The 16,324-nt window shown below is 50.2% G+C and overlaps 1 protein-coding gene and 1 pseudogene across 1 annotated transcript in view, besides 2 other annotated features; one reads left to right on the top strand and one right to left on the bottom strand.

Annotated features, from left to right (window-relative positions):
• Window positions 1-16,324, bottom strand: part of LOC124904790 (uncharacterized) — a 57,419-nt gene that overhangs the window by 28,679 nt on the left and 12,416 nt on the right. The window contains exon 2 of the mRNA XM_047439802.1: window positions 11,647-11,757. Coding sequence (XP_047295758.1) covers window positions 11,647-11,757 — 111 coding nt within the window. The remainder of the gene's footprint in view (window positions 1-11,646; window positions 11,758-16,324) is intronic.
• Window positions 2,832-3,126: an enhancer, noted in NCBI's record as "tiled region #1789; HepG2 Activating DNase unmatched - State 5:Enh". NCBI's record gives its function as "activates a minimal TATA promoter and a strong SV40 promoter by Sharpr-MPRA in HepG2 cells {active_cell/tissue: HepG2}" and the evidence as "EXISTENCE:reporter gene assay evidence [ECO:0000049][PMID:27701403]".
• Window positions 5,649-5,756, top strand: RPL36P16 (ribosomal protein L36 pseudogene 16; annotated as a pseudogene).
• Window positions 11,270-11,947: an enhancer, noted in NCBI's record as "NANOG-H3K27ac-H3K4me1 hESC enhancer chr19:41681487-41682164 (GRCh37/hg19 assembly coordinates)". NCBI's record gives its function as "activates a minimal SCP1, AML or CMV promoter by ChIP-STARR-seq in primed H9 embryonic stem cells {active_cell/tissue: H9 hESC(primed)}" and the evidence as "EXISTENCE:reporter gene assay evidence [ECO:0000049][PMID:30033119]".

The raw sequence follows: 16,324 nt of genomic DNA on the forward strand, positions 1-16,324 counted from the left end.
TTGAACCTGGGAGGTGGAGGTTGCAGTGAACCAAGATCATGCCACTGCACTCCAGCCTGGGCGACAGAGTGAGACTCCCTCTCAAAAAAAAAAAAAAAAAAAAAAGATGCTGATTCCCTGACATGTTGGATCATGGCTATGTCAGAATCTAGGGATAAAATACTAACAAGTGCTTGGAAGAGTAAGTAAATGAAAGACAAGACAGTGATTGACTTCAGGATAAACAAGCCCGTATGAGAAAGGAAATGCCATCACTGAATAGTTCACTACACGGCCTAACTGTGGACTCTTATCTATTGCAGAGTCATCGTCATGCAAGCATTCAACATTGATTTAACTAGACATAGTGATAAATGTCCAGGCGTGGTGGCTCACACCTGTAATCCCAGCACTTTGGGAGGCCGAGGTGGGTGGATCACCTGAGGTCAGGAGTTTGAGACCAGCCTAGCCAACGTGGCAAAACCCTGTCTCTACTAAAAATACAAAAATTAGCCGGGCATGGTGGCGTGTGCCTGTAATCCCAGCTACTAGGGGGGCTGAGCAGGAGGATCACTTGAACCTGGGAGGCAGAGGTTGCAGTAAGCTGAGATCACGCTACTGTACTCCAGCCTGGGCGACAGAGTGAGACTCCAAAAAAACAAAGGAAGGAAAGAAGAAAGAAAAGAGAGAGAGACAGAGAGAAAGAAAGAAAGAAAGAAAGAAAGAAAGAAAGAAAGAAAGAAAGAAAGAAAGAAAGAAAGAAAGAAAGAAAGGAGGGAGGGAGGGAGGGAGGGAGGGAGGGAGGGAAGCTAAACAGAGCAACTGTGGGAGAGGAAGAAAATGAGCACTAAAGGGAGTTCTCCCCAAAGGTTTCCCAAAGTCTGCTTCTTGGAGGAATTCTATACAAGACTGAGGTCCCTAAATCTCCTAGATCCAGGCATAGTAGGCTGAATAACGCCACCCCACCCCGCCCGAAGATGTCCACACCCTAATGCTCAGAACCTGCGAACACATTCCCCGACATGGTAAATGAGGTTTTGCGGAAGTGATTAAGGATCTTGAGATGGAAGGGTCATTCTGGATTAGCTAGTGGACCCAAGGTAATCACAAGCATCCTTCTAACAGGAGAGCAGAAAGGTCACAGTCAGGCTGGGCACGGTGACTCACGCCTGTAATCCCAGCACTTTGTAAGGCGAAGGTGGGCGGATCACCTGAGGTCAGGAGTTCGAGACCAGCCTGGCCAACATGGTAAAACCCTGTCTCTACTAAAAATACAGAAATTAGCCAGTGTGGTGGCGTGTGCCTGTAGTCCCAGCTACTCAAATGGCTGAGGCACAAGGATCACTTGAACCTGGGAGGTGGAGGCTGCAGTGAGCCAAGATTGTGCTATTGCATTCCAGCCTGGGTGACAGAGCAAGACTGCATCTCAAAAAAAAAAAAAAAGAAAGAAAGGTCAGAGTCAGAGAAGATGTGACCACTGAAGCAGAGACTGGAGTGATGCAGTCAGAAGCCACGGCATGGAGGCAGCCTCCAGAGGCTGGGAGAAAAAAGTGACAGATTCTCCACTGAAACCTCCAGAAGGATCCAGCCCTGCTGACACTTGACTTTAGCCCGTTAAGGTTAGCTTCAGACTTCTGACCTCCAGAACTGTAAGATAATAAATCTGTGTTGATTTACACCACTAAGTTTGTGGAAATTTGTTAATGGCAGCAATAGAAAAATAATAACACCATCGGCCGGGTGCAGCGGTTCACGCCTGTAATCCCACCACTTTGGGAGGCCAAGGTGGGCAGATCATTTGAAGCCACGAGTTCGAGACCAGCCTGGCCAACACGGTGAAACCCTGTCTCTACTAAAAATACAAAAATCAGCCCAGTGTGATGGTGCATGCCTGTAGTCCCGGCTACTCGGGAGGCTGAGACAAAGGATCCCCTGAACCCAGGAGGTGGAGGTTGCAGTGAGCTGATCCCAAAGTGCTGGGATTACAGGCGTGAGCCACCGCGCCCAGACCCCTGTTTTTTTTCGTTTGTTTGTTTGTTTGTTTGTTTGTTTGTTTTGAAACAGAGTCTTGCTTTTGTTGCCCAGGCTGGAGTGCAGTGGTGCAATCTCGGCTCACTACAACCTCTGCCTCCCGGGTTCAAGCGATTCTCCTGCCTTTTCATCTCGGCCTTCCAAAGCACTGTGATTACAGGCATGAGCCACTGTGCCTGGCCTATTTATTTATTTATTTATTTCTAAGATGGAGTTTCGCTCTTGTTGCCCAGGCTGGAGTGCAATGGTGCCACCTCGGCTCACTGCAACTTCCACCTCCCGGGTTCAAGCAATTCTCCTGCCTCAGCCTCCCAGTAGCTGGGATTACAGGCAGGTGCCACCACGCCAAACTAATTTTGTATTTTTAGTACAGATGGGGTTTCACCTTGTTGATTAAGCTGGTCTCAAACTCCTGGACTAAAGCGGTCCACCCACCTCAGCCTCCCCAAGTGCTGGGATTACAGGCATGAGCCACCGCTCCCGGCCCTGGAGTAGCTTTTATGTGGCAACAGGAGTTAGAAATCCTTCTGTCCTAAACAGCTCAGGCTCCCACAACATACTATATATTGTCTTTCTCTTAGTCTTTGCCCAGGCTCTCCCTGCTCCCTCTGTGGTTGCAGTTAGGGTTCATTCTTGGTCCAGGGTTAAGATTCGTTCCAAGGCCTGGAACAGCAGTCAGTCTGTACCTGTGGTCAGGACACAAACTGATAACTTTTACTTTCCTGGAATGTCTACTGATCCTGTGACATTGTCCGGCCCCTGCTCATTCAGGTGCTGGAAGAGAATGCAAACTATTGGAGCCTCTGGTTTAGGTTTCCTCAAGGTCATCTCAGCCATACCCCTGTCTCCTAGAGAAATTTCTCAAGAGATTAAGGGACTCATTCAACTTGGCACATACCTTGGTTGCCTTAGGTACTTCTTTATCTTCAAAATAAATTGTGCCAAAGTCCTAGATATCAGAATGTCAACAGGGAGAGGTTCCCACCCAGGCCTCCCGTTTCCGCTTGCACCTTGCACCTGTTGGGCAGATGACTTTGCGCGAGTCACTTCCTGACTCTGGCCCTAAAACTTCTTTTGTAAAACAAAGGGCATGGGTCAGAGGGTCTCTAATGGGGTCCCAAGATTAAAATTTCACAGTTCTGAGTGTCTAGAGTCTCCAGGCAGTGTGGTACCAGCTCTGGATTCAGAGAGACCCAGGTTTGAGCCCAAAGCCTGGGAGTTACTGACTGGCTGGCCGTGGGAAAGTGACGGAACACTCCCAAGCCTCGGTTTCCTCACGTGTAAAATGGGAATTAACTAAGGCAATGCCTCTCAAACACTTGGCACAGCCCCTGGCATGGCATACAGTCCATGCCATTGCTGTTGAGTTTGTAATGATTATATATAATTAAGTCTGTGCTGACAATACGTAGCTACGTAGGACCAAGCATCCAGCAGAACGCACAGTCCGAGACACTCTAGGTTGTGGTAGTAACTGCTGTAAAATAACTCCTTTATTATTGCACGTCAGAATAGGCAAGAGAGTGTAACACAGAAAACATCAGCTACTCTTCAGGGTGGTGACTGCTCCTTAGTCTAGGTATGTACACCTGGAAGGGTCCGTGAACATTTTCCATGGGAGAGATGGATACAGAGATAAGTTAAAGGAAATTGCCGGGCGTGGTGGCTCACATCTGTAATCCCAGCACTTTGGGAGGTCGAGGCGGGTGGATCATGAGGTCAGGAGTTCAAGACCAGCCTGACTGAATTGGTGAAACCTTGTCTCTACTAAAAAATACAAAAATTAGCTGGGCTTGATGGCGGGAGAATCATTTGAACCCAGGTGACAGAGGTTGCAGTGAGCCAAGATGGCGCCACTGCACGCCAAGCCTGGGCGACAGAGTGAGACTCCGTCTCAAAATAAATAAATAAATAAATAAATAAATAAATAAATAAATAAAGGAAATTAATGCCCAAATCCTCACCTTTCAATTGAACAGTTCCCCGAGGAGACCTGCCTGAAAATGCCCCAGTTGTATAGGAATGATTTACCCATATCCTGTTTCACTTTTCACCCATCACTCACTTTTTCTTTTTCTTTCCTTTTTCCTTTTTCTTTCCTTTCTTTTTTTTTTTTTTTTTTTTTTTTTTTGAGACAGAGTCTTGCTCTGTCGCCCAGGATGGAGCACAGTGGCCCCATCTCAGCTCACTGCAACCTCCGCCTCCCAGGTTCAAGTGATTTTCCCGCCTCAGCCTCCCAAGTAGCTGGGATTACAGGCGCACACAACCACTCCTGGCTAATATTTGTATGTTTAGTAGAGATGGGTTTTCACCATGTTGCCCAGGCTGGTCTCAAACTCCTGACCTCCAGTGATCTGCCTGCCTCAGCCTCCCAAAGTGCTGGGATTACAGGCGTGAGCCACTGTGCCCAGACTTTCTCTTTTTCTTTTTTTTTTTTTTTTTGCCAGAAAGGGTCTTGCTCTGTTGCCCAGGCTGGAATGCAGTGGCTCAATCTTGGCTCACTGAAGCCTCAACTTCCCAAGCTCAAGCAATCCTCCCACCTCAGCCTCTTGAGTAGCTGGAATCACAGGTACGTGCCACCACACCTGGCTAATTTTTTTTTTTTTTTGTAAAGACAGTGTCTCACTATGTTGCCCAGGCTGGTCTTGAACTCCTGGGCCCAAGTGATTCTCCTGCCTCAGCCTCCCAAAATGCTGGGGTTACTGGAGTGAGCCACCATGCCTGGCCCCACTTTTTACTCACTTTTTTGTTCATTTGTTTGTTCCCACTTAAAAAAAAAAATCCTACCTCTCTTCCATTTTCAGTACATGCTCTCAGTGCTGAAATCCTCTGGTGACCAAATAGAGACATCTAGAACATTAATAGTGGTGTTAGGAGGAATTCAATTGACTGGGTAATAAATCCGCCTTCAAGTCTTTGCTTTTCAATGTTTTGTTTTCAATACTTTGCAGTCAACAAAACTAGAAGAGGACCTAGAGCAATTGCCAGCTGAGGAGTCATTCAACTATATTTTGAAGATAGGTGACCATTGATTTTTGGCATATAGCTTAGAAGGAGTTAAAAGAATTAAGGGACATTGCTATACTGATATTCTTTGGATTCCCATCTATTTAATTATGTGAACACATTTTCTCCAAGCTTGCATCACCAGGGGGGTAGACAATGAAAGTTTTTCTTTTTTTCTTTTTTTTTTTTTTGAGACGGAGTCTCGCTCTGTCGCCCAGGCTGGAGTGCGGTGGCGCGATCTCGGCTCACTGCAAGCTCCACCTCTCGGGGTTCACGCCATTCTCCTGCCTCAGCCTCCCGAGTAGCTGGGACTACAGGCGCCGGCCGCCACCACGCCCGGCTAATTTTTTTTGCATTTTTAGAGACGGGTTTCACCGTGTTAGCCAGGATGGTCTCCATCCGCCCGCCTCGGCCTCCCAAGGTGCTGGGATTACAGGCATGAGCCACCGCGACCGGCCGAAAATTTTTCAATAAAAATAAACTTAAAGAATACCAGCGCTTCCGCCACGGCTGCCATTGGAGAGCAGCAGCCATGGCTCTGCGCGACCCTGTGGCCGTGGGCCCCAAGGTGACCAAGGACGTGAGCAAGCCCAGGCACAGCTGCCGCCCCGGACGTCTGACCAAACACACCAGGTTTGTGCGGGACATGATCCGGGAGGTGTGTAGCTTCGTCTCGTACAAGCGGCTCGCCATGGAGTTGCTGAAGGTCCCCAAGGACAAACGGTCCCTCAAGTTCATCAAGAAAAGGATGGGGACGCACATCCGCACCAAGAGGAAGCGGAAGGAGCTGAGCAAGGTGCTGGCCACCATGAGGAAAGCTGCTGCCTAGAAAGACTGAGCCCCCTCCCCTGCCCTCTCCCTGAAATAAAGAACAGCTTGACAGGAAGAAAAAAGAAAAAAAAACCAGCAACAATTTTATGTCAAAAGTTTGAAGATTAGTGAACACATTCCTTAGAAAAATAGGCCAGGTGCGGTGGCTCACTCCTGTAATCCCTGCACTTTGGGAGGCCGAGGTGGGCGGATCACCTAAGGTCAGGAGTTCAAGACCAACCTGGCCAACACGGCAAAACCCCATCTCTACTAAAAATACAAAAAATTAGCCGGGCGTGTTGGCAGGCGCCTGTAATCCCAGCTACTTGGAAGGCTGAGACAGGAGAATCGCTTGAACCCAGGAGGTAGACATTGCAGTGAGCCGAGATTGCACCACTGCACTCCAGCCTGGGCAACAGAGCGAGACTCCACCTCAAAAAAAAGAAAGAAAAATAAATACAACTTGCCAAAATGGACACAAGGAGAAACAATAAATATGAATAATGCTAAAATGATTAAAGAAATCAAGTCTAAAATTAAGTATCTTCCCTCCAATGTTTATGATAACCCACTAGTGAAATTTACCAAATATCTAAGGAAGAAATAATGCCAATCTCACATAAACTCTTTTATGGTATAGAAAAAGCACAGTTTTATAAGGCAGGCAGAAACTTAATTGCCAAAACCTGCCTAAGACAATATAAGAAACGAAAATTACAGGCCAGTCTCACTACCAAACTTGGATGTAAAAATCATACATAAAATAGCAGCCAGGCACAGTGGCTCATGCCTGTAATCCCAGCACTTGAGGAGGCCAAGGTGGGTGGATCACTTGGGGTCAGGAGTTCAAGACCAGCTTAGCCAACATGGTGAAACCCCATCTCTACTAAAAATACAAAAATTATCCAGGCATGCTGGCAGGTGCCTGTAATGCAAGCTACCTGGGAGGCTAGGGCATGAGAATCGCTTGAACCCAGGAAGCAGAGGTTGCACTGAGCCGAAATCACGCCACTGCACTCCAGCCTGGGTGACAGAGCAAGACTCCGAAAAAACAAAAACTAAATAAGAGGACTTACTCTACCTGATATCAAACTTACTAGGGAGCTATGGTAATTAGGACAGTGTAGAATTACCCAAACATGAACAGAGACCAATGGAAGAGATTAGTCAGCCCAAAATAAGAACCCACTTCTGGTTGATGCCAAGGATGGTATTACAGAACCATGAGGAAAGGGTGGTCTTTTCCATAATGAGACTGAGACATTGAATACCTTTACGGGGAAAAAGGAAATTCGAAACCTACCTGACATCACATCAAATATTAATTCCAGATGGATCATATATCTCAATGTGAAAAGCTAAACAATAAAAGCTTTAACAGATAATCTAGAAGGGTATCTTTATGCCCCCAAGAGAGAAAAAGTGTTCTTAAAAATGACACAAAAAAGCACAAACATTACTGAAAAGATTGATAAATTGGACTACATTCAAATGTAGTTCATCAAAGACACCAGGAAGGGCTGGGCGCAGTGGCTCACGCCTGTAATCCCAGAACTTTGAGAGGCTAAGGCGGCAGATCCCTGAGATGGGGAGTTTGGCAGATCCCTGAGATGGGGAGTTTGAGACCAGCCTGACCAACATGGAGAAACCCCATCTCTATTAAAAATACAAAATTGGCTGGGTGTGGTGTCACATGCCTGTAATCCCAGCTACTCAGAGGCTGAAGCAGGAGAATCCCTTTAACCTGGGAGCCAGAGGTTGCGGTGAGCCGAGATCGCGCCATTGCACTCCAGCCTGGGCAACAAGAGCGAAACTCCAATTCAAAAAAAAAAAAAAAGGCACCAGGAAAAGAGTAAAACAGGGCCGGGCACGGAGGCCCACGCCTTTAATCCCAGCACTTTGGGAGGCCAAGGCGGGCGGATCACTTGTGTCCAGGAGTTCCAGACCAGCCTGGTCAACATGGTGAAACCCCGTCTCTACAAAAAATACAAAAATTAGCCCAGTCTGGTGGCATGCGCCTGTAGTCCCAGCTACTTGGGAGGCTAAAGTGAGAGGATCACTGGAGCTTGGGAGGTTGAGGTTGCAGGGAGCTGAGATCGTGCCACTGCACTCCAGCCTGGGCAAGAGAGTGAGACCTTGTCTCAAAAAAAAAAAAAAAGAAAGAAAGAAAATTGTAGGTGAAGGTAGAAGTATCTCCAGTGATCTTCAAGACTGGCACAATATTCTAAAAAGATACATTTGAACATAAAAATAAATGTTAACCAGACATCGTTTTTAGAATTATACAATACAAATTCTGGTGGGGAGTTGGCTGAGAGCCCCTCCTCCAGCTTCCTGGTGGTGGCGGTGTTCCACCTCCTGGGTCCCCACCCTCAGTCTCCCTTGCTCTGCCTTCTCCCCCACCCCACCTCCACATGCTAGAAACCAGGTCCTCTTCTCACCCTCTCTCCCAGGTGAGCCTGGTCACTCACAGAGCTGCAGAATCTGCTGTCTGTCTGCCAAGGACTCCCAACTCTGTGTCCACAGCAAGGATCTGTGCTAAACCACACTGGCCTTGCTGGGCCTCCAGCGCCATACACTCCCTCTTATGGCTTGTAACAGGTGTTTCCCCACCTGGAATGTTTGCTCTCCTCTCTCCTCCAAAGTCCTGCCCCTCCCTGAGGTGAGAAATCAGTTCCCCCACCTCCCCCACAGCCCCAGCACTCTGTGCTGAAATCATCATCAAAAACCCTGGTCTCCTCCAATCCCTCCTGCTACCCTCTCAGCCACCCAACATGCTATTCCCCCTGCAGGAACACTCTTCCCCATGATCTTTCTCGAGTCATTCTTCAGATCCATGTATCCCCTCCTCCAGGAAGCCCTCCCTGATACTCACCACTCTCCGGCCAGGGCAGGCACTTACTCTGGGCTCCCACAGGCCCCCTGGCCTCCCCCATCCCAGCCCCGACCACTCTGGGCAGTCAAGGTCTGGTGACTAACCTGCCTCCTCAACTGGACTGTGGGCCCCATGGGGGTAGGGCTGTCTCTGTCTCTACTGCCTCCCCAGCATCACCCAGTCAGGCCTGGATGCAGGCCTGGCATCAACTCTGCATAAAGGAGCGGAGGTCAGGAGTTCCCTGGGGCCTCAGTGCCTGGCACTGGTGGAGGGGCTTTCTGCATGCCACACTCTGGATCTTCTCCAGCTACTCCTTATTCTGGAAGCTGCAGCATGTTGAAATAAAAACTGGAACTAAATGGAGATGGAATGGACTTCACATTTGGACACATGGGTGTGTAAAGAGGAACGTGACTTCTCCAAAGTAACGCATAGAGGCCGGGCGCAGTGGCTCACGCATGTAATCCCAGCACTTTGGGAGGCCGAGGCAGGCAGATCATTTGAGGTCAGGAGTTCGAGACCAGCCTGGCCAACATGGTGAAACGCCATCTCCACTATAAATACACAAATTAGCTGGGCATAGTGGCACATGCCTGTAATCCCAGCTACTCCGGAGGCTGAGGCTGAAGAATCACTTGAACCCAGGAAGCAGAGGTTGCATTGAACCAAAATCGCACCACTGCACTCCAACCTGGGTGACAGAGCGAGACTCCGTCTCAAAAAAAAAAAAAAAAAAAAGTAACACACTAACCTCCTGACCCACCCAGAGTGGGTCTTACCTTCTAGAAAGATAGAAAAGAATAGAACCAGGCCAGGCTGACTCTGGCAGCTTTAGAACAATAGTAATGGCAGGAGTGGCCGGCGATGGACAGCTGGGGGTGGGACTGAAATAGACAGCAGCCAGGGAATAGTGGGTTGAAGGGAGAAAGGGAGTTATTTTTCTGTAGTCTTTGAAATTTTATTTTTCTCTTTCCTTTTTTGGAGACAAGGTCCTGCTCTTTTGCCCAGGCTGGAGGGCCATGGCGCGATCATGGCTCACTGCAGCCTCGAACTTGAGCGATCCTCCCTCCTCAGCCTCCCAAGTAGGTGGAACTTCAGGCGTCTGCCACCACACCCAGCTAATTTTTAAATTTTTTAAATTTTTTCTAGAGATGGGGGCCTTGCTATGTTGCCCAGGCTGGTCTCGAACTCCTGAGCTCCAGCGATCCTCCCACCTTGGCCTCCGAAAGGCCTGAGCCACCGTACCCGGCTGAAATTTGTAATCAACCCATAATCATCTATTACTTATGTAACTGAATTCCTATGAAAAGCATAATAAAGTGGAGATCATAAAGGTGCCGACTTCGGGCTGTTGTAAGATTTCGGTGCCACACCTAGCACAGAAAAAGCATGGAGAGCAGAAGGGCAGTGAACGCCAGCTGGCACACGTTGGCTACGTGCAAGTATTCGCCTAAACGCTGCGCAGGTATTCATCATATGATCCCCATAAACCTCTGAGGGCTGCACTCACATGTCATCCCCGATCTGCTGATGAGAAGTTCAGTTATAGGCCCAAGGTCACATATCCCGAGCCAGCGTAAAAGTGGAATCCAGGGAGGAGGAGGAGGAGGAGGAGCAGGAGGAGGAGGAGGAGGAGGAGGAGGAGGAGGAGAAGAAGAAGAAGAAGAAGAAGAAGAAGAAGAAGAAGAAGAAGAGAAAGGATTACTGTCCGTCTCTCTCTGGTTCTCTGCACACCCCTCACCTCCAGGGTTTTCAGTCTGTCTCTGGACCATTCTCCTTCTCTCCCCCTGCCCCATTCTCCAAAAGCCCAATGGGGTGACTTGCAGGCTGGGGGCACCCCCTGGTGCCTGTGTGCCGAGTGCAGAAAGTCAGGGCGGTACAGGGTGGAGGCAGGTGAGAGTGTGGGGGTGGTTTGGGTCCCACCGAGATATGGAAAGGTGGGTATCAGAGTAGAGTGCACTCATTCATTTCTTCATCATCACAGCCCAGAGGGTCCACTCTGTTCTGGGAGTGTTGGGGGGTAGGAGTGGAGCAAAACAATGCCCCCAGACGAAGAGAGCAGTGGGAGAAGGAGAGAAGGAGCATCCCAGAGCCATAGACACTTAGGGGCTGTGTGACTCTGGGCAGGTGACCTAGGGTCCTTGAACCTCAGTTTCCTCATCTGAAGATGGAGATGATATGTTAGTATCTCCCTCAGAGTATTAATGGATGCTAGGTACAGTTATAAGCTTCATTTACAGATGAGGAAAACTGAGGTTGGACAACTTGGCCAGTCACATAAAAGACGCAGTGGGGTGCTCCCTCAGCACCACTCTCCGGCTAAGAATTCTGGCTGCAGAGGAGGATGGACTCCAGGAGAAAGAACAGGCCGCCATTCCCATGGTTCAGCATGGACATCGGTGGAATGCTGTTAAATTGGTCTGTTTTGAGGCCGGGAGCGGCGGCTCACGCCTGTAATCCCAGCACTTTGGGAGGCCGAGGCAAATGGATCACCTGAGGTCAGGAGTTCGAGACAAGCTTGACCAACATGACGAAACCCCGTCTCTACTAAAAATACAAAAGTTAGCTGGGTGTGGTGGTGCGCACCTGTAATCCTAGCTACTCAGGAGGCTGAAGCAGGAGAATCACTTGAACCCAGGAGGCGGAGGTTGCAGTGAGCCAAGATCGCACCATTGCACTCCAGCCTGGGCGACAGAGCAAGACTCTGTCTCAAAAAACAAAAAAGGAAGGAAAAGAAAGAGGCAGTGGTGTTAGCAGGGCAATGAGTTGAATTCCAGTAACTCCGGTTCCCCTGGGTTTCCAACCCCCAGACCTCAAGCTTGGGCCTCCACACTCCTCTCCATCCCATCCCCCAAACATGTTCCTGCTAAACTGTTAAGCTCCAGTTCCTGCCTATCCCACCACTTACCCACCACCCCTCTTCTACTCCCCCTGTCTCCACTAACCTGCCGATCCACATATTTTCAACAGCCAAGATCGCTCTCGACCTGTGAGCAGGAAGCCAGTTGTTGAGACAGGTACACTTTCATCCCGTTTAATGACTGTGTCTTCCTCATCTCATGGCAGTGTGAGGCACGGGCACACAGGCCTAGGGAAGGCAGACAAGCCCTGTCCCTGCACTCGCCCCACTTTGGGCTAGGAGAGGAAACCAGCTCAGACAAATAATCTCAGATGCCCGCTGTTTCAAGATCCTCTGGCTGCAGAGGGGAGGGTGGAGGGGAGCGGAACCTGGAGGCCTGGGGCTCTGAGAGGAGAATGGGTGGGGCCTAGATGGGAGGGGAAAGAGCCAGAATAGAATGTGTGGAGGGCAGAAGCGGGCAGATCAAAGCCAAATGCTAGAGGCAGAAGAAAACAGAACCCCATGACTCAGGCGTTTGAAATGAGGAAATTCTCAACCCAGATAGATGCAGAACTGATTCTAAGAGGAAAAGATTAGAAACAACCTAGAGATCTGATCAGATGGGAAATTAAATGGATGGAGAGGTGTGCCAAAGCCTTCTCTGAAACACCTCCCAGGCATTAAAATTAGTGATCCAGAGCCAGCTGTATGGATATGAATGAATCTTAAAAGCTGAAGGACAAAAGCCAGTTGCAGAAGAAGGGATGTGGACTGTGTGCTGTCCTGGGCATAAAGTTGTTTTTTTTTTTTTTTGAGACAGAGTCTTGCTCTCTCACCCAGGCTGAAGTGCAATGGTGCGAACTCGGCTCACTGCAACCTCCGCCTCCCAGGTTCAAGCGATTCTCTAGCCTCAGCCTCCCAAGTAGGTGGGATTACAGCCGCCTGCCACCACGCCCAGCTAATTTTTTTATTTTTAGTAGAGATGGGGTTTCACCATATTGGACAGGCTGGTCTCGAACTTCTGACCCCAAGTGATCCACCCACTTGGGCCTCCCAATGTGCTGAGATTACAGGTGTGACCCACTGCTCGCAGAGTGCATAAAGTTTTTAAGCCTGCAAAAGAATGTTTTCCCAGGCCAGGCACGGTGGCTGACACCTGTAATCCTAGCACTTTGGGAGGCCGAAGCAGGCAGATCACTTGAGGTAATAGAGTTCAAGACCAGCCTGGCCAACATGGTGAAACCCTGTCTCTACTAAAAATACAAAAATTAGCCAGGCTTGGTGGTGGGTGCCTGTAGTCCTAGCTACTCAGGAGGCTGAAGCAGGAGAATCGTTTGAACCTGGGAGGCAGAGGTTGCAGTGAGCCGAGATCTTGCCACTGCACTTCAGTCTGGACAACAGAGTGGAACTCCATCTCAAAAAAAAAAAAAAATCCACTTGTTCTCTGGGTGCAGTGGCTAATGCTTGTAATCCCAGCACTTTGGGAGGCCTAGGTGGGCAGATCACATGGCCAGGTATTCGAGACCAACCTGACCAATATGGTGAAACCCCATCTCTACTAAAAATACAAAAATTAGCCAGGCGTGGTGGGCACCTATAATCTCAGCTACTCGGGAGGCTGAGACAAGAGAATCACTTAAACCTGGGAGGCGGAGATTGCAGTGAGCCGAGATCATGCCTTTGCATTCCAGCCTGGGCAACAAAGCAAGACTCCATCTCAAAAAAATAAAAATAAAAATAAAGAACGTTTTCCCAAATAATTGTGTGTGGTTGCACAAATATGCAGGAAAACAATCAGAACGTACCTGGAAATATTAATTATAAGATAGTGCCTCCCGCTGGGCTCAGTGGCTCATGCCTGTAATCCCAGCACTTTGGGAGGCTGAGGTGGGCAGATCACAAGGTCAAGAGTTCAAGACCAGCCTGGCCAGCATAGTGAAACCCCATCTCTACTAAAAATACAAAAATTAGCCAGGCATGGCGGCATGTGCCTGTAATCCCAGCTACTCTGGAGGCTGAGGCAGGAGAATTGCTTGAACCTGGGAGGCGGAGGTTGCAATGAGCCAAGATCACGCCACTGCACTCCAGCCTGGGCGACAGAGCGAGACTCCGTCTAAAAAAAAAAAGACAGTGCTTCCCCTGTAGGAGGGAGAGAAGGATGTGACGTTTCAGAAGGGATACAGGGAACCCCAAACCCGGTCATGAGTATTTTATTTCTCTAAATAAATAATGGTAAAAATGTTAAGATATTGTAAAGATAGGTGTGTATGTATAATCGTGGTAATTCCTCTAATCCTTTCTCCATGTCTGTATTTGAAATAATTATTTTCAAGGCCAGGCGCGGTGGCCCACGCCTGTAATCCCAGCACTTTGGGAGGCTGAGGCGGGTGGATCACTTGAGGCCAGGAGTTTGAGACCAGCCTGGCCAACATGGTGAAACCCTGTCTCTACTAAAAATACAAAAATTAGCTGGGCATGGTGGTGTGTGCCTGTAGTCCCAGCTACTGGGAAGGCTGAGGCAGGAGAATCACTTGAACCCCGGAGGCAGAGGTTGCAGTGAGCTGAGATCATGCCACCGCACTCCAGCCTGGGCGACAGAACAAGACTCCATTTCAAGAAAAAGGAATAATTATTTTTGGCTGGGTGCAGTAGCTCACGCCTGTAATCCCAGCACTTTGGGAGGCCGAAGTGGGCGGAACACCTGAGGTCAGGAGTTTGAGACCAACCTGGCCAACATGGTGAAACCCTGTCCCTACTAAAAATATAAAATTGCTTGAACCTGGGAGGCAGAGGTTGCAGTGAACTGAGACCACTCCACTGCACTCCAGCCTGGGTGACAGAGCGAGACTCTGTCTCAAAAAACAGTAATTATTATTATTTTTAAAATAACATATATTTTGGAGGCTGGGCACAGTGGCTCACGCCTGTAATCCCAACATTTTGAGGGGCCAAGGAGGGAAGATGGCTTGAGCCAGAAGTTCAAGACAACCCTGGGCAATATAGTGAGACCTCATCTCTACAAAACATTTAAAAGTTGGCCAAGTATGGTGGCATGCACCCGTAGTCCCAGCTATCTACAAGGCTGAGATGGGAGGGTCACATGACCCGGGAAGGTGGAGGGTGTAATGACCCCACCAAAACACTGTACTCCAGCCTGGGCAACGGTTCGAAATCCTGTCTCAAAAACGTATACTTGGTTGAGCACGGTGGCTCACGCCTGTAATCCCAGCACTTTGGGAGGCCGAGGCGGGCGGATCACGAGGTCAGGAGATCAAGACCATCCTGGCTAACACGGTGAAACCCCGTCTCTATTAAAAATACAAAAAAATTAGCCAGGTGTGGTGGCGGGCGCCTGTAGTCCCAGCTACTCAGAAGGCTGAGGCAGGAGAATGGCGTGAACCCGGGAGGTGGAGCTTGCAGTGAGCCGAGATCGCGCCACTGCACTCCAGCCTGGGCGACAGAGCGAGACTCCGTCTCAAAAAATATATATATACTTTTGAAATACCTTTTTTTTTTTTTAATAAGGGGACTGGAGGGGGTGGAACCAGGTGATAGTTGGATACAGAGGGAGATGAAGGAAAGGAAGCAAAAGCTGTCCCCCAGGAGACCCGAAATTTTATTTTTCTCAACTTATGGTTGCCTTCCTGATATGAATTTGTAGGAGCAGTGCCTTATTTTTTTCTTCTTGCACCCTCACCCAGCTACGAAGAGTAGTACTTAGAAAAGAACTTTTAGGCCTGGTGCAGTGGCTTACGCCTGTAATCCCAGCACTTTGGGAGGCCAAGGTGGGTGGATCACTTGAGGCCAGGAGTTCGAGACTAGCCTGGCCAACATGGTGAAACCCCAATTCTATTAAGAATAAAAAAAATGGGGCCGGTCTCCAGCTCCTAACCGCGAGTGATCCGCCAGCCTTGGCCTCCCGAGGTGCCGGGATTGCAGACGGAGTCTGGTTCACTCAGCGCTCAATGGTGCCCAGGCTGGAGTGCAGTGGCGTGATCTCAGCTCGCTACAACCTCCATCTCCCAGCCGCCTGCCTTGGCCTCCCAAAGTGCCGAGATTGCAGCCTCTGCCCGGCCACCACCCCGTCTGGGAAGTGAGGAGCGTCTCTGCCTGGCCGCCCATCGTCTGGGACGTGAGGAGCCCCTCTGCCTGGCTGCCCAGTCTGGAAAGTGAGGAGCGTCTCTGACCGGCCGCCATCCCATCTAGGAAGTGAGGAGCGCCTCTTCCCGGCAGCCATCCCATCTGGGAAGTGAGGAGCGTCTCTGCCCGGCCGCCCATCGTCTGAGATGTGGGGAGCGCCTCTGCCCCGCCGCCCCGTCTGGGAGGTGAGGAGCGTCTCTGCCCGGCCGCCCCGTCTGAGAAGTGAGGAGACCCTCCGCCCAGCATCCGCCCCATCTGAGAAGTGAGGAGCCCCTCCGCCCGGCAGCCGCCCCGTCTGAGAAGTGAGGAGTCCCTCTGCCCGGCAGCCACCCAGTCTGGGAAGTGAGGAGCGTCTCCGCCCGGCAGCCGCCCCGGCCGGGAGGGAGGTGGGGGGGTCAGCCCCCCGCCCGGCCAGCCGCCCCGTCCGGGAGGGAGGTGGGGGGGTCAGCCCCCCGTCCGGGAGGGAGGTGGGGGCGGTCAGCCCCCCGCCCGGCCAGCCGCCCCATCCGGGAGGGAGGTGGGGGGGTCAGCCCCCCGCCCGGCCAGCCGCCCCGTCCGGGAGGGAGGTGGGGGGTCAGCCCCCCTCCCGGCCAGCCGCCCCGTCCGGGAGGTGAGGGGCGCCTCTGCCCAGCCGCCCCTACTGG

Source organism: Homo sapiens, chromosome 19 (genome assembly GCF_000001405.40).
Source record: "Homo sapiens chromosome 19, GRCh38.p14 Primary Assembly".
Taxonomy (NCBI): Eukaryota; Metazoa; Chordata; class Mammalia; order Primates; family Hominidae; genus Homo; species Homo sapiens.